Below are 21916 nucleotides of genomic sequence, written 5' to 3'. Positions count from 1 at the left end.
CTAGTTAATCACATATTTTCACCAATAAAAACATTGCATCTAACATCATTTATGCTAATTAATGAACCCTCTAGCGTGAATATCTGATAACATCATTCTAAGTATATTTGCTGCCACTTGGAACGTCATAGTAAAGTTCTTCAAATAATCACTAATCAGTCTGGATTCCTGCCTAAGACAGAGGTGAAGTTCCAAATATCTAACCACTGGCATGGCACAATCACCAAGAGATGAAAATAGCTGTAAATTCTTATGCCAGAGCGGTGCCTTCTAGCCTGGATTACTTCAAGTGTTAACTAAGCTCCCCCAGGGTAGAGATTAAAGTAATTCGTAGAGTCACTGTTTATATTGAAGTACTTAAAAAATAAATTACAGACAATATAACAGGTGCCTAATTCACAGCCATCACCCATTTTTTTATTTATCTGCTCACTCAAGAATTACAAGCAAAGGATCATGGGATCTATTCCTAACTGAAAGATTAGATCAATCAAATTAGCCATCTGTCTGTGGAAGGCTTTAAACTCAGGTTGTATTTAAGTATTATGTTTCCAAGTGCCCAGATGTTACAGAAAAGTGCCTGCTGATACAACTCGTTTTGCACAATGTAAGCCACTAAATGGCTAATATAAACTTATTGCAGCAAGAAAAATAAATAGCATTAACATTGCATTAAATCTGATTTGGGATTTTGGGTGCCCTGTCAGCAAACACAAGTGTTAAAATTTAAATTGCTCAAGACTTGCAGAGTCAGACAAGAAAGAATTGTCAAGTGTCTTTAGATAAGGGGGATACTGGAAATGAGATCAAAGCACTGGGATGTATATCCTTGCTCGGTGTGGTTGGTGAAAGTAATAATAATTACTATGACTATTGTTAGATCATATCCTCTCCTTAGGTAGCACTTCAGCTCTTTCAAAGCACTAGCCTGCTTTGGATAAGTGGGGGCTCTTTCCAGCTGAGGAAACATCAATAGGAAATGGACTGAGTGAGCCCGGTCTATTTTTCCATGTCCCTAGCAGTGATTCCTGATTTACTCCAATCAACTTATCAGTGAGCAAAACCTGGACCATTTCTGAGCTCTCTGGCTTTATGGAGACTTTCACTGACTCCCAGTAACATATCAGTTTGGATAATTCTGTTTTAGGAACAGCTGCTGCCCTACCACATCCTGCAAAACTTCCCCCAAGACAATTACCAGGCAAAAATCATCCTCATTTTCCAAACCAAAAATCAAGGCATGTGGTTGACCAGGGAGTCTTTCTAATTTGTTAATTCATTTGTCTGAAAAATGTTACAATTCAATACAAGTTACATCACATGTAACCATACCTTAATACCTATAGAAAAGAATAAAAGTACATAAAATCATAAATGTCTATGTTTATTACTTCTGATGCCTGGAAATATAGAAATTCTTTCAGGTTTTTCTTCCTTGTCCAGATTAAACAATCCCAATTTCTTAAATATTGCCTTCACATGTCAGTCTTTAATCCTTTTTAATGCCCTGCTACATGCATTACTGTATTGGATCTTCCCTGGAACATTTTATGGTAGGGTCTTTCTTTATCCTATTTTTACAGATCAGTAAACTGAGGATTATGGAGCATATATAACTGACCCACTGTCACCATGTAGCTGTAAAGTGTCAGAACTTGAACCCCAATGTGTGGAATATCAAAATATGTGCTCTTACCCAAGCCTTCCTGCTCCACCAGGAGAAACCAGCCTTGAAGGCTGAAAGAATAAGCTTGGGATTGGGGGTGAGGGAGGTAAGGGGGGAAAATGTTGGTTATATAGAGAACAGCGTGGCTTTTTGTTAACGCCATTGCAAGGTTTCCCTCTTTCACCGGTCAGCTTAGAGTCTAAGGACAGGGTTGTTCTGGTTAAATACAGATGCCCAGAGCAACATGTTGTCGTCAGCAGTCACAGCTGGGCGTGGAGGTATGAAGCAGTGAAGATCAGCATAACACAGAGTACCTGGGTCGAGGTACCAGGGAGAGGGAGGCAGTGGGAGAGTCCAAACTCTCTTTTGGCATGTCTCAAAGTGTGCATCAAGTCATCTGAGGTTCTTGTTTAAAAAGGCAGGTGCCTGGATTGCACTCTAAAAATTCAGATCCACTTAGTGCAGGAATTACTGCTGAGGGCGGAGACCCGCGCAGAGCCAGCTCTGGAATGTGCGCCCTCTGCTGGCAGAAATTTTATTTGACTCATCTAAGCCACTGCATGAGAACCCATGAGGGGTTCTGCAAGGAAGCAAAAGTACCCCCGCTCATTTCAGGAGGCTGAAGCTACACCCTGGGGTCCTTCCTCGAAGGCGAGGTCCACAATCAGTGAAATCAAAGATGAGTTTGGGGGATTTCCTCTAAAGGCTGCCATATCTCCTCACCTTTTCCCTTTTTCGATAACTGAAATAGCAGGTGCATCTCTAAGATGTGCAGCTTGACATGCAAAAACAAAGGCAAGGCACACGGGCCTTGAGCAACTCAAAAGATTTTCTGCTGCAATCAAGACATCACATCATTCAGTCAGCTGGGAAACACTACAGTCCGGCCTGCCAGGGTGTGAGGCAGGAGAACACGAGGTAGCCACAGGATAGCCCTGGGCAAGCTGGAGTCCCACCTCAGCCTCGGATGCTGAGTCTCAGTCTTCCAGAAATCTAGCCAAAATTACTAGACCACTTTTGGGCTGTAGTAAGCCATAAACAGATGGACTACTATTCCCCAAAGAATGCTAAGGTTATTAAAGCCCTCGGCTCTGGGTAAGAAGAACAAAAAGCACCACTCAGCTCCTTTCTGGCCAAGCCACTCTTCCCTGAGAAAGAATTCGGAAAAACAAGTCTTGCCTCACATTAAACTACACTTACTCCTGACCTTGACTCCTCTGTCTCTTTACCTCTCACAGAGAATTAATGGAAAGAGTGAGACTAACAAAGAGAGATGGAGTCAAAGAGAGAAGTGCTTCCTTATGAAGATTAGATAAGATGTTGAAACCAATAGGAGGGGAAGCACAGTGATGGAGTGAAGAATCAGAGGAAAACATTTCTGTCTGCCTGAATTGCGTGGGGCGCTAGGAGTTGGGTGCTGGGGATGAGTGTGCTAGGTCCCTAGCACCTAGCTTCTAGTGCCCCACGGCTTTTGTGAGCTAAAGATTTCCCTGATAAATGAGACAGCCTGAATCAGCACTGGGATATGGAGTACAGTGGACTGGAAAGGGGACAGGAAGGAACATACAGATGAGAGATCTCCCCCAATTGCCATGCTTTGGGAAGAGGGCTTGGATGAGAGCTATAAGTGAGGAACTAACCAGTCTCTTGTGAATTCCAGGTAGATCAAGGTGGCACTGGGGAAGTAGACCAGGATGACCCCTGATCCCTGGCCACTGCCCCTTAGCCATTCAGCCTCACACTAGCAGCAGCAGAATGCCTCTAGAGGTGCATGTATCTCTACCAGCAACCAACAAGATGTATTGCCCACAAGCTAACCCTTCTCTTCCAGCCTTTTGTTTTTGCTTCCTGACTTTCCTTACATCTTTATTTTAGTTTGATTATACCACTAGAGAAATACTGACAAAGTGGAAAGAAAAAGATGAGAGAGCTGCATCGTGCTAAGGATGATTATGGACACCCAGATACTCCAGGGAAAACCTTGAACTCTGAACGCTGACTTGACCTTCTTCGACTGACCCTGGGACCTCAGGCAAACTGGACAGGCAGGAGGAAAGGCAGGACCCATGTGCAGTTCTCCAGCCCCCCTAGTGCCAGAGAGTTAATAAATGTCAGGAGACTTGTCTAAATAAACAAAGAGCAACCCCAGGCTCTAAGCCTGGGAGCACCGGTCTTTAACCCCAGGAATCCTTCCCAGACATGCCACGGCTGTCAGCCCTAAGTCTGACTTCACTGACAGAACCTTGTAGAGAGACAAACGATCTATACCCTATCTACTGCATAGGAATGAGGAGGTCTTAATGGCACAGCCACTGTAGCTTGAGAGCTACAGCAAGCCTTCCAAGCTGGAGATCCCTTTGCCTCTGATGTACCACCTCCCACCACCAAGCATAAGAGTGCTTAGAAAATAAAGCCAAGATATCCATACAAAAGCAAATAAACCTTGACTTATATCTCACACCTCATACAAAATTAACTCAAAATGAATTATAGACCTAAATGTAAAACCTAAAAAACTTCTGCAATAAAACATAGGGAAACATCTTTGCAGCCACGGGTTAAGCTTTCAAAAAAACAGCACGAGCCATTTAAGAAAATGATAAATTAGACTTTATCAAAATGTAAATCTTCTACATTTTGAAAGACACCATTAAGAAAATAAAAAGACAAGCCACATACTAGAAGCCGAGATTTACAAAACACAGATCTCATAAAGGACTTGCATCCAGAACATACAAAAAACACTCAAAATTCAATCATAAGAAAATAAACATCCCAATGTTTTTTGTTTCTTTTTTTTGAGACAGAGTCTTCCTCTGTCACCCAGGGTGGAGTGCAGTGGTGCGATCTTGGCTCATGGTAACCTCCCTCTCTGAGGGTAAAGTGATTCTCGTGCCTCAGCCTCCCAAGTAGCTGAGACTACAGGCACGCGCCACCAAGCCCGGCTAATTTTTGTATTTTTTGTAGAGCTGGGGTTTTGCCATGTTGGCCAGGCTGGTCTCAAACGCCTGGCTTCAAGTGATCTGCCCACCTTGGCCTTCCAAAGTGCTGGGATTACAGGCATGGGCCACCATGCCCGGCAAACATCCCAAGTTTTAAAAATCAGCCAAACATTTAAACAAAGATTTCACCAAAGAAAAGATGGCAAATAAATAAATTTTTTAAATGTTCAATATAATTAGTCATTAGAGAAATGCAAACTAAAACTGTGATGACATACTATTACATGCTTATTAGAATAGAATCACTAAAACAAAACCAAAAAAAAACTCTACCAAGTGTTGTAGAGGATTAGGAGCAGCTAGAACATTCGTACATTGTATGAATGTAAGATGGTACAGCCACTTTGGAAAACAGTTTGGTGATTTCTTATCCAGCTCAACATATACCTGCCATGTGATGCAGTGATCCCACTCCTTCTGTTTATCAAGAGAAATGGAAACATATATCTTCCAAAGACTTCTACGTGCACGTGTCTAGGAACTTTATTCATAATAGCCTAAAACTGAAAACAACTTAAAAGTCCACCAACTAGCAAATGGTTAAACAAACTGGAATTCCATGGTCCATCCAACGCACCACTACTCAACAATAAGAAAGGAACAAACTTCCAATATATGCAAAAACATGGATGGATCTTAAAAGCATTATGCGACAGAGGGTGGACACAAAATATGACATTCTGGAAGAGGCAAAACTACAGGGATAGAAGTTAGATCAGTGATTACCAGGGGCTGGGAGGGAGTCATTTTTCTACAAAGGGACACAAGGTAATATTTAAGGATGATGGAAATGTTCTATATATTTCTATTCCGGCGGTGATTACATTACTGTGTATGTTTGTTAGGGCTCATCAAACTGTAGACTTGATGAAATTTATTGCATATAAATTATACCTCAATAAATCTGACTTTAAAATGATAATAAGGACAAGAGTTAGCAATATGCCTGCGGGAATTAAGTGACTTGTTGCATGCTGGTTCCCGCAGTTGTCTGGATTTCCCCTCCCTTCTTCCTGCCCCACCACAGAAGCACGGCAGTCCTCCCGCACTTTCTGGTGAGACTCAGGTGATGGGACCAGCACTAGGCTAGAGACCACTCAGGAGGGTGGGAGGTCCAGGTGCCAGTTCCAGTTCAGCTTCTGATGTTAACTGGGGCAAGTTACTGAGTCACCCTCAACCTCATTGCAAAATGAGGACTTTTCACTTCTTTCCAGGCCTATGATTCTAATTTGTAGTCTGAAAAGGAATGAAGGCTATCCAATGAGTGGTGTGTCCACACCGTGAAGGTCTGGGGAAAGGACAGGGCCCTAAACCCTCCCATTCTTCAGAGGCCCCTTTTTCTACCCTCAGGTACTGTAGTGGGCCCTCTGACCCTCACCAGCCTTAATCCCCAGGAGTTCAACAAGAGAAGCAAGTGGTTCATCATCACCCCATAAGGCCACACCCTGTGATTCTTATAAATGAGGCCAGTAGACAGTAGCTTCCAAAATTCTTTCAGTATCATATGCACTCTGTTGTCTTAGCAGGCATGGGCAGATCCCATTTACAAATGTTTAAGAGCAACGCAGGATCCCCACACAAAACAGCAGCCTCCACCTAGGCTCCAATATCTGACCCACGGGAGCTCCACTCTTCAGCCTCCAGGAAGACACCCTACAAGACATGCTACACACCTCTGCAAACACAGTGTTCTGAGCTCAGTTTCTGGTCCTGAATATCAGAGTTTAAATTTCCATTCCACCGCTTACTAGTTGTGTGACCTTGGATGAGATATTTAACCTCTCTAAGCCACAATTTCTCCTTCAGTAAAACAGTGATAATAATAGTCCCCATCTCCCAGGGCTATTGGGTTGATTAAATAAATCACTGTGCATCCAGTTCTTAGAACAGTGTAGCAAGCACTTAGTGTTAGTTATTATGATTTAATTTCACTTAATTTGAAAACTGTCATTTCTTGTAAGTCTTGGCAAATGCAGAGGTTTCTTTATTAATGTTCAATGTCAAAAGATGAGCTATCTTGGGGTGAAGAGAAAGGTTGCTTGTGTTGAACCCAAACTAGACTCAGACTTGAAGCTGCTACTCAGTTTTTTCTCACCAGAGGTAGGTGCGGATGGGGAATTTCCAGGTTGATTTTGAATCCAAGACTTCTCCAACAATGCTATACTTATCAAAAGTAGATTTAGGAGTATGAGGAGATAGGGAGGGTCATCCAAATAAGACAGAACCGCTCCAGTATGCCTGCACCGTGGCCACGATACCTTCAAAGTACTGTCTATGTACCAATTTCTGTTGAGGAAACAAGGTACAAAGAAACTCCCATATGGATACTAGCAGGATTTGCTAGTGTCTGGGGAAGATTATAAATTAGCTAGTTGCTGCTCACATCAGAGCCAAGCAGGGCACATTCAGTTTTTTAATCTGGACCAATTTTCCGGATCAAAAACTAGTCTTTCCAAGGGATGTAAATGAGCCCAGGAGGGAAATTTCCCCTGAAGTTATGAAGTAGCTGTCATTTTAATCTGAGAAGCTTTCCAACCTGAAAGCTAGTGTCTGGATAAAATTATAAAGTAATAAAAATAAAACTCTTCTAGGTTGAACCTAGTCTAAACACTTCTATCTCAAATTTGATGTAATTAATATGCCAAAGTATTTAAGAGGTGGTGTTTCCACTATCAAAACCCTATCTATGCTTCAAATAAAACCAAAGAGGCCAGCATGGCATATTCCTGGCATGAATATCAGAATGAGACCCTGAATGAACCAGGTAGAAAATCTTTTTAGGAGAAGAACTCCAAAAAATAAGAAGGAAAATATGATGACCCACATGAGCAGTTTTATACAACAGGTTTTTATAAAATGCTTTTTAAAAATTCCCCTTAAATGGATTAAAATATATCCTTTAAAAAGCATTGCATACACTGTTCATGCTTTAAAACTATAGATATAACTATGCTTTGTTTAAAAATTGTGACAATTAATAGATGATTTCATGTGAATAAATCTGCAAAATGCAATTGATCGTGATGTGGTTATCTTAAGGAGGAAAGTTAGAAAGAAGCCCTTCACTGAAATCCTTGAAGGTATATGTATGTGTGCGTGCAGGAAGAGAAACAATTTAATGTGATATTACCTTGGACTGAAGCTATTATCTCCAAAATGAATTGAAGAGCTCATAAATGGAGTGGCTCATAATTTAAATATGGTGTAGATTATGATAATGACCTTAGATTTCAAGGCAGGTAACAAGTGCTGGTAATAAGAGACACAGTGCAAAGACTGAGGACGCTTCCAGAGCCGAAATGCAACAAGTCATATTTCCAGATAGAGAGTTTCAATGCGAAAATATTTAAGCATTCACATGGGATCCCGCTAAGACGATTTTCTCTGCCCTCTGATAAATTTTCCTAGCTTTGCCTCTTTCTTACAGAAACGTTTGTGAAGACAAACTGCACTTTCTGTGAGGTTTTGCAGACTGCATTCAAATAAAAGTAATATTGTTTTCCATTGTTCATAAGATATAATTAATCCCATAAGACAACCTCCCTTACAAAGTAAGTTAAGACAAAACAGATTTTTCAGAATTCTAAATATGGTCCCAGCAAAAAGTAATAAAAATCGTTATTTGGGAAACAATGTTTAGAACTTCATTGTTCAGAATGTTCTACTTTGAATAATCTCACAGCATAGGCCAAATCAAAGTAGACCAAAATAAACGAAGACTTTTTACCTATATGCAGCTAGAGGAAACACACGTTATTATGGTTTCAAGTTCTCCCCCAATTCCCAGTCCCTTATAACAGGTTACAACGTACATTTCTTTGTTTAAATGCCAAAGCAAAGACAGGAGTTCAAAACACGGTAAAATTAACCCACTGGGTGCTTCCTTCTGAACAAATGGCCCCAGAGTGGAAGAGGATGCTAAGAGCAGAGTCCACATCCCTGCACAACGCGTGGGCAGGACCCGAGATGGGCAGAGGGGGCTCCAGGCAACCCTTCAGACACTTAACAGGAAATGGCTGGGCTCTGGACAATATGAATTGAGTAAAATGTTTGGAGACGCAGGAGGGGCTGGTTTGACTCCTCTGCATGGTTGCCATCCTCTGTAATTGAGACAGCACGATCGCTGTCCCAACTGTCAGCTCTCTGCGGTCAAACACGGGGACCACCACCTCTATCTACTATGTCTGGAAAATTGATCATTCTTTTAATAAATAAATATCCCTAGCGCCGCCCGGGCTCGGGGGAGGGCGAGGTTTGCGTCTTTTCTCAGCTCCTGGCAGAGCTGAAGCGAGTTAAGCAGACGTTGGTCGGGGAGAGGGAGGCGGTGCGCTGCCCGCTCTGTGTCCTCGCCCCGGAGCCCAGCAGGGGCGCTCGGGGCGTGGTGGCTCTGGGCGGAGGAGCGCATTACCTGGTTTTCGGATGGCCGCTCGGAGCGACACCGCGCCGGGTCCGAGGCTGGAAGCCAGGAGCAGGAGCCGGAGCAAGACGCCTCGGATTAAATCCATTTCGCAGCCGGCGCCTGCAAAGTTTCACCAAGTCCCGGGCGCACACGGAAAGGGCGTCTCCGGGGGCGCGTGGGGGACGCGGCCCCAACGGATCCCCGGGCCGGGGCGAGGAGGTGGGGGGCTGCGAGGGCTGGGCCCGGAAACACGGGTAGTTCCAAGAGGTAGGACTGCAGCCGGGAGGTCGGCGTGCGCGAGTGAAGCCGGCTGCAAGCTGCAGGGCTTTTCGCGGGGGCGGGGGCGACGAAGGAGGCCGACTGGGAGGGAAGGGCTGGCCGCGGGAGGGAGGGAGGCTCGACCGGCCCGGGGATGAAATTACAATCGAGTGGAAGTGAGAGGGACAGGCCCTGAAACCTTCACTCCTCGCCCACCTCGGAAGCAGACAGCCCGCCCCTCACCCTCTCTAGCGACCCCCAGCGCAGCCCTTCCCCGCTGGTGACCTAGATTGGGGACCTGGGAGGGACCGACTTCAAGCACTGGAGACGCAGGGCAGGAGTTAGGCGACTGCGGGTCCAGGACCCTCCGCGGTCCTCACCCTGAAATCTTGGGGCGCCCCCCCTCCACCCCACCTGGGCCCTCCTCCTGCCGCGCCCCTCTAGGCGACTTTTTCTAACACCTCAAAGGTTGCTGTAGTTGGTCCAGCGCACTTGGGGGATGCGAGGGGTAGACGGGGGTCTGTGATTTGCAAGTGGGGTGGGGGTGAGAGGAAGAGAGGCGGGACCGTCCGGGTCTGAGGCGCTAAGAAGATAAATGGGATTTAAGGCTCGCAGATGGAGAGCTGAGGCCAGGCCGCTCAGACTGGGACGCCGGGTGGAGATTAGGGCCTGGAGCGGGGGAGTGGGGGCCCTTCCCGGCAGAGGAAGGCAACTTGAGACCCTCCTGGGGAGGAGATGAAACTCCAAGTTAAGCCTGGCGTCTTAGGGAGGGACGCGAGCTCGAGCCCCCAGGCGGACCGAGAAAAGCCCCTGGGCGGCGCCCAGCTGGGCCTGGGGCAGGGGGCCGGGGCGGGGTCCTGGCCTCTGATCCCGGGATCGGGCTTCCTGGGTTGTCTCCTGAATGGAGAAAGACTCTTTCTCCGCCGCTGAATTTGCTGCCCTAGGACTCAGTAAAATGTACCTTTTGCCAGATTTCGCGGTAGTGCCTGGAGAGGGGAGACCCTGCCTGGGACACAAGTCCCGTTGCATACTGGCGTTCTGACCTCCAAACCAGCGAGAAGAGAAAGCAGATACAATAAATAAACCAAGAGGGAATAAACTTAGAGGCAAACGCGGCCCTCGGCAGTTCCTGGGGAAAGATCAAAGGCCGTAGGAAGTGCCCCGCAGAGGAAATCTGCAGTCACTAGCGACAGGACCGCGCCCGCCCCCTCCCCACCTTGCAACGCTGCCAGGACTCGGTGGGCGTCCTGGCTCTTCACAGTTAGCCTATGTTTGGGAGCGCGGGAGGAAACAATGTTGACTGATATATTCTTCTCCCCTCCCCAGCCCCCCAAACACACACACACAGGATTTCTACTCCTCTTTTAAGAATGAAATATCCCCTGGCTGGAGAGTTTGTAATGAGCTCAATCTTGTTAGTTAGCAAAGCTGAGTGTGTTCCCTTATGTGTTGGCATTTTCAAGTGTGCAATTGTCTGTTCACAAATAAATTCAAAGTCCCCTCCAACTTGAGTATTTGGAAGTTTTAGCTGTGACACCAGAGCTTGTCCTCTTACATAGAACTGGAGCAAAGTTCAGACAGAACTATGCTCTTCACGTCCAAGGTGACCATAAAGCCGGCCACTAAGCTAAGCAAAGTGACTGCCCCCAAGGCTGCTAGTCTCAAAGGTCTCAAAATCATAGACTTTTTAGCATTTTAAAGGTCATCTAGGCCATGCCTCCACTCCACGCAGGAGTCTGCTTTCAGCATTGGTGTCGGGTCGTGCCACCTCCCTTTGAACTCCACCTGTGTGAGAGAGCTCCTCCAGCGCCAGCTGAGAAGTTGTTAGAGGCCTTTCTTTATGCGAAAGTGATTTCTTATCTCGGACTTAATGTGGCACCCAGAACCAAGCGAGTGTTGCAATGCAGATGCCTCCCATGCAGGCTTTCCTACTTAAAAATGATTCTCTGTGATGCTGAAACTGGAAGTAATAATAATCGTTGATATTATGGCTACCATTTATTTAAGGTCTCCTATGTACCAGACCTTCTTTGAAGTGCATTTTAATCCCAATAACAACCATACCAGGAAGATACTGTCATTACTATTCTCGCCTTTTACAGGTGAGGAACCTGAAGCATGGGAAGGTTAAGAAACTTGCCCAAGGTCATGCAGCTCCCATGCAGCGCTTGAATCCAAGGGGTCTGATTCCAGCTTTCAGGCTTTTGAGAGAACAATGTGGAAAGTAAACACAGCAGTGGACTGAGAGGATCGGGAGATGTGGGTGTTTAATCCTAGGCTCTGCGTATAGTGTGCCTTGGTAAAAATGAATGGGCTGGACGAAACAATCAGTAAATTCCAGGTTTTGCTTTCTCTTTAATAGCTGATAAAACAGCATCATCTAATCTAAGCTACCTTTACTCTGCATGTGCCTTTTAACAGACCCTGTGCAAATTGTCCACTGCAAATTTCGCAAGCCTGGGCAGCCTTCTTGCCAATGTCCTCCTCATGTGCCCACACCACCTCGGCATCCCTGGCCCTGGGCCTCCCTTCCATTTTTTTGCAGATGACCATAGGCGATTTGGGAAATAGGCTTGGTTTCTTCAGAGACCCCTCTTGTTTTTTCCTTGGGGAAAAACAACATTAGATTATACTGTTGTATTTTTACCTCTGAGGGCCTGCAAACACTCTGGATCATCAGGCCATTGAGATAAGACCTTATTTCACAAAATCTGCTTCAAATCTAGAGCACATGTTACATTAAACTTATTCCCTTCCTTTGCAGTTCAAATCGCATCCTCCAAGGGAACTGGAAGATTCCCTCTCCTTCCAGTTTGAAAACCAACTATGGCATTTGTAAATCTGACTAAAGACAAATAGAACACTTGCCTTTCACTCTCTTCCTGCTTTCTGAGAGGAGGGGAACTAAAGAGGGGCCAAGAGGCTTTGAATGTTTCATTAAAAAAAAAAAAATCTGTTCAAATTCACTGGAGGTCTAAACTCAATTAATAAGGTCACCAGCAGAAGAGTGACCTGCCTACTTTGCTCATTATCATGGAAGAGGAATCTGACCTTTGCTGCATGGAATAGATTTGGAGGCTGGTAGAAGAAAGTAAAGGCAAACTTATCAATTATAGAATGTTTATTAAGACTCTAAATGAGAGTGACAAAGAGGCAGCAGCCAAGAATCATCTTTTGATTTATTTTTCTAAATTGGTTATATCTACATGTAAAATTTGAAATGCAGATCAGGCAGAGTGTATAGTGAAAAATAAGTTTCCTTTTCTTCCTTCTACCATCACCAGTTTCTTGGATATCCTTCTAGAGATGGTCTATGAATGGACAAGCTAATTATATACACATATATTTAACGCAACCAAGAGCATCTTCTACGTACTTCTTAACCTGATGATCCTTCCAAATCAGCAGATACAGATCTGCCTCCTTCTTACTAACTGCTGAATAATATTCTACATGTGATATGTAATTTATTTGTTCTTTCTTCTGTTGTTTCCAATTATTATAAACAGCAGGCATGAATGACACTGAATATGTAATAAGTTGCACATGTTATAGTAGACTGTAGGGTTCATTTCTAGACTAACCATGCTCGGTCAAACAGTAAATGCCTTTTCAATTTTGATAATTTGGCTACATTTCCTCCCAAGGAGGTTGTACTATTTTACTCCCCAATAAGCAGTATATGTGCCTAACTAATTCCGTGAACTCTCACCAACGTAGTGTCTTATCAAACTAGAAATATAAATATACATATATTTATATGTTACATTTTAATCAAGATGCAACATACAAAAGTATCAAATAGTAAGTGTACCAATTGATGAATTATAGCAAAGTGAGCACACTTGTATAACTTTATTAACTACTGCCCAGATCAAGGAATAGGATATGACCAGCACCCCCACAAAGCCCTCTTCATGCTTCCTCTCTAGAAGTGTGTATTTTTGAAGAAGGATGAGGGATGAGAATTCTAACCTCCCATTTACCTTTAATTAAAACACACAAATAAAAGTAGATCAGTAAAAATAAGTAAACACTCTCCCTACACCAATGTAAAACAAACATTGAGACTGAATCCCATTATGTGTAAGTCTCTGTGCTAAGAACAGAAATAATATATTAGAGAAAATGCAACAATATTTTTTGCACTCAAGAAGACTACAAATTTGTTGGGAGACGAAGACAGTTGCACTGTCAATTGTTCCATAAAGCAGAACAAAGGAAGCCCTAAATAAGAGTGCAAATAATGTGCTATTGGGTTGAGTGACAAAGACCCTGTATTACAAATGATAACATATATAATAAGATACTGTATAATGCATAGCCATCTGCTATGCATTATGTCCTCCTTGCTTATACTTGATTATAATTAAGTATGTAATCAATGGACTGCACTGACAAAGCAAACGTGTAATAAACCCCCAGATCAAGAAATAAAACAATACCAGCACCCCAAAAGCCTTTCATTCTTCCCACTAACTGTAACCTACCCTACAACCAAATAGGTAACCATTTTCCTGATTTCTAGCACCTAGATTATTTTGGCCTGGTTTTGAACTTTATATAGATGGAATCATGCAGTAATGTAATCACTTATTCCTCTTTTACTCAACATTATGTTTGAAAAAATTCATCCAAGTTGTGTGGTTATTCATGTTCATTGCTGTGTAGTATTCCATTATAGAAATGTATCATAATTTGTTTATCCATTTTACTCCTGATAGACATTTGGGTTGTTTCTAGTTTGGAACTACAACCGAAGATGTTGCTGTGATCATTCTTGTATGTGTCTGTGGCAGACATATGTATGTGTATCTGCTGTGTATACCTGTGAGCAGAATTATGAGGTTATATGATAGGCATATGTTTAGGTTTGGAAGGTATTGTCAAACAGTTTTCCAAAGTGGCTATATTCATATACACTCCCATCAAAGTATATGAGAGTTCTAGTCATTCAAAAATCATACCAACACTTGATGTTGTTTGTCCTTTTCATTTTAGCCATTTTGTTGCATGTTAATAATACCACATTGTGGTTTTAACTTGTGTTTCCTTGAAAACAAGTCAAGCACCTTTTCACTTCTTTATTGGTTGTTGTATATCCTATTTTGTGAAGTGCCTATTCATGTCTTTTGCCCATTTTTCTATTGGGTTTTCTACTTATTTCTCATTGATTTGTGGAAATTCTTCATATATTCAGGATACAATTTAGAGGAGTTTTTCTGTTGTAGTTGAATATATTGGTAATATTTTCTTCACTCTGTCTTGGCTTTTAACTCTCCTGACGACTTTTAATGAACAGAAACCCTAGTTTTAATGTAGTATGATTGATCGATTTTTTTCATTTATGGCTAGCAACTTGCCCCAGGTCACAAAGACATTATTCCATTTTTTCTTTGAAAAGCTTTATTGCTTACCTTCTACATTTAGATCTGCAATAGATTTTTATGTATGATGCGAGGTAGTGCTCACAGCCTTTTTAACTTGATGCTCCCTCCTGATTTTGATATGGGCAGCTGCATCTCCACAGGGAGGAGATGTGGTTTGCAGGATGTGGCTTCTGTGCTGTATCTTCTCTGCCAGCGTCAGCCAAGCTGAGGCTCAGGGCTAAAGCTAGGACTACACATCTCACCTGGGATAAGCCCTCTAGATTGCCACCCTGCATTATGTGTTTTGGATGAAGCTCTATGTGTTTACAACAAAGCCAATCTGCCCCCAAATATCACACTTAATGAAGTATTTTACAAATATCTTCATGAAATTTCTGTCGTTTGAAATACTCCCATGGGTTAAAACTATGACTCATTTATGACTTATAGCCCTTCTATTCCAAAAATCATGGGGGAGAAATGTTTTAAGAACTTTTATCCAGGTGGTCCCTCTTAAAATAGACATATGTTTCCTGAAGGGGAAGGAAGGGCTCATGAATACTGTGCCTGTTAACACAGTGGGGACTCATTTATTAGCTCATTTAGCTGTCACTTAGGACAGCAGCTCCAGGGTCTACAGCAAGTAGAATAATACATGAGTTTAATAGTAATTTGGGAAGGAAAAATTTTCAGAATCTAGGATATAGATTGTTAGTAATAGCAAACCCCTGAAAGCAATAAAGGTAGCCATCATTGGAGAAGAGACTGGTAAAATAAATTGTGGAATGCAATAAATCACTCTACATCTGTTTAAAAAAAAAAGTGGGCTTTGGCTGGATGCAGTGGGTGACTTACGCCTGTAATCCCAGCACTTTGGGAGGCCCAGCGGGCAGATCACTTGAGGTCAGGAATTCGAGACCAGCCTGGCCAACATGTTGAAACTCCATCGCTACTAAAAATATAAAAATTAGTCGGGCATGGTGGCAGGTGCCTGTAGTCCCAGCTATTTGGGAGCCTGAGGCAGGAGAATCACCTGAATCTGGGAGACAGAGGTTGCAGCAAGCCAAAATCATGCCAATGCACTCCAGCCTAGTCAATAGAGCAAAACTCTATCTCAAAAATAAAAAAAAAAAAAGGGCTTAGAGCTTCATGTGCTACAAGGAGAAAAGTGAATCCAGCAAATTTAGGCAGTGCAAATGTGTTAATGAGTGTGGGAAGAGCGCTGGAGTGTCTGAGGTGAATGGGGGAAAATTAGCATTGTGTTATTTTTCACTGCTTATGTTTTTAATCATAGGAAAGTCTATTTGGGTTCAAAAGAAAATATGAATTAATTTTAAAAGAATATAGGGCAGTCTAGGTGGAGTGCTTGGTGGGACAGGAAGAAAGATGGAATCTGAGAAACCAAGAGACAAGATATAGATCCTGAACACCTTAGGAGAAAGAGAGGATGAAGAGCTGGAAACTGGCACTCCCAAGGGGGAGGTGGGCATGAAAAGCAGACCTCACAAGTTATATGGTTCTGTCTAGAGCTGCCAGATTGGATGAGCAAGAAAAATAGACATGCACACGCCAGGGTCTCTCCCTGTATTTTCAGGAATATGGAGAAGCCATCGTCTTCCTGAAAATACAGGGAGACCCCCTGTCGTGTGCATGTCTTGAAGATGTCAGGGATCCTCCAGGGTCCTGTGACCTCCACCTAACCATGAACCACACAGGACACAACAAAACGAGAGAGCCCCAAAGTGGCCAAATGCAACTGCGTACCATACTAACAGGCATCTCTTTGGAGACTCACACACAATTTCAAACTCAGGGCTAGTTTGTGAAATGACATGGCAGCAAGGAGATCTCCACAGAGTAGAGGTCAGGAGATCTGCACTCTCGTTCCATCTCTGTCACTATTGTCCGTGGGACTTTAGCAATTCCATCAACCACTCTATCCCTTATTCTTCTCCTCTGGGAATTGAAGATGTCAGATAAAATGCCGCCTCAGTCTGTCCCAGGGCTCACGATCTCCACTCTCATGACAGAGCTGCTTTCCTTTTCCCAGGACAGGCAGATGTCACTTGTTAAACACAAAAGAGTCTTATAAATTTTTTTATCAGGAAAAACTTTGAGGTTGGAAAGCAAGTCTCTAGCCAAAAAAGGAAAATGAAAACAAAACAAAATAAAATGCAGCATTTAATACACACACACAACACACACACACAACACACACACAACACACAACACACACACACACACAAAGATGGCAGGACAAAAGCAATGCCTTGCCTCTGAGATGGTTGTAGGAAGCTGACTCACGGTTTCCAAGCCAGCCCTATTTAGTCCATCCAGAGAGCGGAAATGGCAGGCATGAGAAGGGAGGGAAGGGAAGACTCCTGTGGGGAGGTGAGCGTAGGAAGCAGAGAAATGCTGGCTTCGTTTCTGGCTTCTTCTGCAATGGTACAAACAAATGCAGATTTTCTGATGCCAAGAAAAAACCTGTAAAAAGAAGCAAAAGGCCAGTTTTTCAGTCTGAGTTTGATATTTTTATGTGTTTTTCTTTAAAAAGAAATTCAGCTTTTATTTTAGATTCGGGGGTACGTGTGCCGGTTTGTTAAATGGGTACTTTGTGTGATGCTAAGGTTTGAGGTACGGCTGAGGTATGGATGATTACCCCAGTACTGAACATAGTACCCAATAGGTAGTTTTTCAGCCCACACCCTCCTGCCTCCCCGCCCCTTCTATTAGTTCCCAGTGTCTGTTCCCGTATGTATGTCCATGCGTTTTTCTTAAAGAGGGAAGTAGGACAAAGGGGATGGAAGGATTTGTAAGTACAGTCTGATCAGTGAGTGTCGCCAAGTAGAAGGTGTCAAGAAGGTGACAAGTAGCTGAGTTAGGGTTAGCTATGTTATGGTTAGCTAGCTATGGTTAGGTTGGTACCCAGTCCCAGGGAAGGAAGGGTGTGAGAGAGAAGGGTTCAAGCCAGAGGAGAAGGTGGGTGGCATGTCAGGATGGCAGTGCTCGTGCCAGGAAATAAGAACAGAATAATTTCAAAGGAAATTCCTTATCCAAAAAAGTAGGAGGGAATGGCTTAGATTCCTATTTTAAAATTAATTGACAATATGAACAAAGATCAACAGTTAAGAAGGAGGAAACAGCTTTGATTTCCTCCCCCCTGCAATGAAACGTAACATCTACTTTAAAGGGTGTGCCCATCAGATAGGATAATCCAAGGGACTGCTCATGCCACACCCTTGAGCGTCACTGAATGTGGTTTGGCTTTATCATTCCATCAGTCACATCTATCACAGAGACAAGCTAAGTCCTCTCCAGAGTTAAACTCCAGAAGCACTAGTAGATTATTACTTGGATGGCACATGAGACTTAAGGCCAAAGATGAAGCTTTGATCCAGACACTTTGTACAGGAACTGGAAATAATGGAAAATCAAGGATTGTATTTTGGAACAATGAATGATCTCCCCCAAAAGATAATGAACTACCAGAAGGGGATTCTCTGGGATAGGAATCACAGCCGAGCCATCTAAGGAAAGGAAAATGCACACAGGATACACCCACAACTGGTAGGAGTCACCATTAAGTCCTGGCTGCTCCTGGGAACAGCTAGCCCATTCGTATTTTCCTTTAGCTTTAGTGCCTCTTAATTTATCCAGTATGCCTGTTTTTCATGTTCCCTGTTTCTAATCTTTGTTTATTACTTGTTATATGTCTTTAGATGAGTCACATTGCCTATCTGACATGAGTTTCCTGGGCTTAACTGGTAGAGCACAGGATCCTTCTCAGCCCAGACATCCTTGTGTCTGTGTTTGGGCATGGCAGCTCCAGACACATCCTTCTCAGTTGTGCCCAGGTCCCAACTACTTATCCTTGAGAAATGCTATTAACATTAAAACTCTGATGTCAGAGTTGAAGGAATACACTAACATGATCGCTGAGTCCAGATGAACCCATGAAGAAAACTCAGACTGTGGAAATGTTGGCCTGTATGTAGTAGGCAAGCCTGTAAGTATTTGTTTGATGAAGAGAAGTATGGCTTTAATCATTCTCTGGTCCTACGCTCTTTCATAATCATGGGGTTTCATTGAAAAAAAAACAACAACAACACAATTCAAGCTATCTACTTTCTTCAGGGTAAAAAGCAGACAGTGGAAAAATAATGACTTTCATTTCTAATGCAAATGAAAGTATTGGTATATGTATGTGTACCCCTGTGTATGTACATGTATGTGTGCACCCATGCTAGTATGCTTGTGCACACCTGGGCTTTCCCAAGCAGTATAGGACTATATGGAGGGAAATGAGGACAAGGAACTGTCCCTGAAGTCAAGAAAAAGATTAGCAGCTCTCCCGACTCACTGGCCCTCCACCCACCAAATTATCCCTAAAAACTCTGATCCCCAAATGCTTGAGGAGGCTGATTTGAGTAATAATAAAATCCAGATCTCCCATTAAAAAATGAAAAAAGAAAACAGATTCGAAGTGGAGAAAGGAACAAAAATGGAAGATGTGGATAGCAGGAAGAACATTGTCGCCTATATTCCAGAAAGTTCACAGAATTAGCTCACCAGTTTGATAGATTGGTCTCAAATTTTAACTGTTTAGCATTTTAATGACAAGTCAAGTAGATAAGCAAAGCTGCCAGTCCAAACTGGTGGCTCCTTCTAGGTGTGCCCTTCTTTAAGAAATCTGATTTTGTATAAAAGATTCATTTGGGAAATGATTGGGATTTTAAAATAATTTTTTTAAAATTTTAGGAAAGTAATCACTACAGGGCAATTTTCCAAGTGTTTTTGACTTGAGAGTAGAATAGACCCTTAAGCTAAAATGTTAGTTTTAATTTCAATTTCTATATCTTCAAATAGAAAGATAAAGCATTATTGAAATGAAAATATAAGCTGGTAAAAAAAAGTAGAATATATGTACCAAAATTGAGATTTAATTAAAAAGACAAATATTATATTATTGAAAGAAAACGATCATACTTAGAAAAAAAGCCCTCTTAAAATGCTCTTCATCTTCTCACATTTTCTCGGGAAGCCAAGCTGCGGGTTCAGCGATGGAGAGCAGAAATACTCTATGAGCACACCCATGTTCATGGCAGCGCTGCTCACAATAGCCAGGAGGTGGAAGCAGCCTAAACATCCCTCAGCAAATGAATGGATAAGGAAAATGTGGTATATATGTACATACACTGGAATATTATTAATAATTCAGCCTTAGAAGGGAATCCTGCAGTCTGTGAGACATGGCTAAACCTGGAGGACGTTCTGCTAAATGAAATAAACCAATCACAGCAGGACAAATACTGCATAATTCCTCTTATATGAGGTATCTAAAATAGCCAACTCTTAGAAGCAGAGAATGGAATGGTGGTTGCCAGGGGATGAGGGGAAGAGGAAATAGAGAGTTGCTCATCAATGAGTATAAAGCTTCAGTTAAGCAAGATAAATACGTTCTAGAGATCTGCTGTGCAATGTTGTGTCTATAAATGACAATACTGTGCTGTACATTTAAAACTCTGTTAAGATCACATGTGTTCTTACTACAATCAGAAAGTTAATGTTTACATAAAAGAAAAAGAAAATAAATATTCTGAGCCTCTTTTCAGCTCTTCAGGCACCCAAAACACAATTCCTTCTGTCTACAATACTTGCTTAGTCTAAAGAGTAAAGTTTAATAGCACATTATCTCTAAAAATTACATGTTGGGTAATTTAAAGAACTGATAGTCAACTTTTCAAATCCCTAAAGCGTCTATAAATCTGTCGCATGTATCTGATTCATTCTTAAACAACAATCGAATGTGTTTATCCAGATTTGAAGGTTAGCTAACAGGAAATGGGAGGCAGAAGATGTGATAGGATTTTATCCTCAAAATCTAAATTAATTAGATTTATTTATTTTGAAAAATTATTTAGTTTGCAAAAATAAATATGTATGAGGGAGAGTTTGTAAGGTATACATTTTCTTTTTTTCTTTTCTTTTTTCTTTTTTTTTTTTTGAGATGGAGTCTTGCTCTGTTGCCCAGGCTGGAGTACAGTGGCGTGATCTCGGTTCACTGCAACCTCTGCCTCCCAGGTTCAAGTGATTCTTCTGCCTCAGCCTCCCGAGTAGCTGGGACTACAGGTGTGTGTCACCACGCCCGGCTAATTTTTGCATATTTAGTAGAGATGGGGTTTCACCATATTGGCCAGGCTGGTCTCAAACTCCTGACCTCGGGATCCGCCCGCCTCAGCCTCCCAAAGTGCTGGGATTATAGTGAGCCACCGCACCCAGTCCCAAGCTATACATTTTCTAAATTTTAATATGTGAATGATACTCATTAGAATCTAAAATGTTAAAGCTTCCAAATTTATGTATTATTAGGGATTTATTTTGTGTTATATTTTTATTAAGAGCACATTAATATATAACTATGTACTATTAATTTTCCTTTTAAAATAATACTTTCTCCTTCTCCCTAAATTTTTGGCTGATTATGTGTTTAGTCTCTTCAGAATTACTTGTTAACATTATGCATATATTCCCAAACAACAATTATTCTAATGCAGCACTACCTAAATAAAGCTAGCTAATTTAAAAGCTAATAATGTGTTCACAAAATTATACTCTTTTAAATCTTGCAAAAAATCCAGATTTCAGTTTGTTAAGCAGTAATGTCACAAACGAAAGGGCTTATTACTCAAGAGTATTATTGAGTTTAGGAAAACAGCCAGTAGTTTTGTGGCCGGCAAGATCATAACATTAACAAAATTTCTTTTAGATCTATCAGGCCAAGGACTAGACTGGGGACCCCACACTCAGCTGACAGAGCCCACAACCGCAGCAGCTGTAGAGTGTCTTACCTCCCCACACTTCCCTCACCCCACAGCACCATGAATAAGGAAGCAAGAGAATGTGCTGGAAACCTGCAGTGGGTTGGCCACAGGAGAGCTTCGAGTTCTTGGCCTGGCCCAGTTCCTTCTTGCCCAAGGTAGCTTGATTGACCAATAACTGGTCACCAGAAGGCATGAAGTCTGCCCCTTAGCAACTGTCTTCACATCCTCCCCTCTCATCTCATTTCCTAACTTCTGGCTTTCCCATCCCAGAATACTGTGTCAATTGCCAAGCCTCTAGTATAGGATATTAGAGAGTTAGCAATAAATTATTTATGCTGATAAAAAAATAAACCCTATTTCCAAGAAAAGTATAAATGGGAGATAACAGTTTTGCCTTTCTG

At 42.4% G+C, this 21916-nt stretch overlaps 1 protein-coding gene and 1 long non-coding RNA gene across 3 annotated transcripts in view, besides 1 other annotated feature; one reads left to right on the top strand and one right to left on the bottom strand.

The window, feature by feature from the left end:
- EGFLAM (EGF like, fibronectin type III and laminin G domains) overlaps positions 1-9369 on the bottom strand; it is a 206922-nt gene extending 197553 nt beyond the window's left edge. For both annotated transcript variants that reach the window (NM_001205301.2, NM_152403.4), the window contains exon 1: positions 9077-9369. In NM_001205301.2, the coding sequence (NP_001192230.1) occupies positions 9077-9173 (97 nt within the window). In that variant the 5' untranslated portion in view covers positions 9174-9369. The remainder of the gene's footprint in view (positions 1-9076) is intronic.
- LOC124900966 (uncharacterized) lies at positions 9262-10831 on the top strand. The gene is made up of 2 exons (XR_007058739.1): positions 9262-9334; positions 10297-10831. It is a non-coding gene; the product is annotated as an uncharacterized LOC124900966 (long non-coding RNA).
- Positions 10238-10739: an enhancer, noted in NCBI's record as "NANOG hESC enhancer chr5:38257291-38257792 (GRCh37/hg19 assembly coordinates)". NCBI's record gives its function as "activates a minimal SCP1, AML or CMV promoter by ChIP-STARR-seq in primed H9 embryonic stem cells {active_cell/tissue: H9 hESC(primed)}" and the evidence as "EXISTENCE:reporter gene assay evidence [ECO:0000049][PMID:30033119]".

The sequence above is a fragment of the Homo sapiens genome, chromosome 5 (genome assembly GCF_000001405.40).
Source record: "Homo sapiens chromosome 5, GRCh38.p14 Primary Assembly".
NCBI classification, from domain to species: Eukaryota; Metazoa; Chordata; class Mammalia; order Primates; family Hominidae; genus Homo; species Homo sapiens.
The sequence above is the reverse complement of the archived record's forward strand: the minus strand, read 5'-3'. Positions and strand labels throughout refer to the sequence as shown.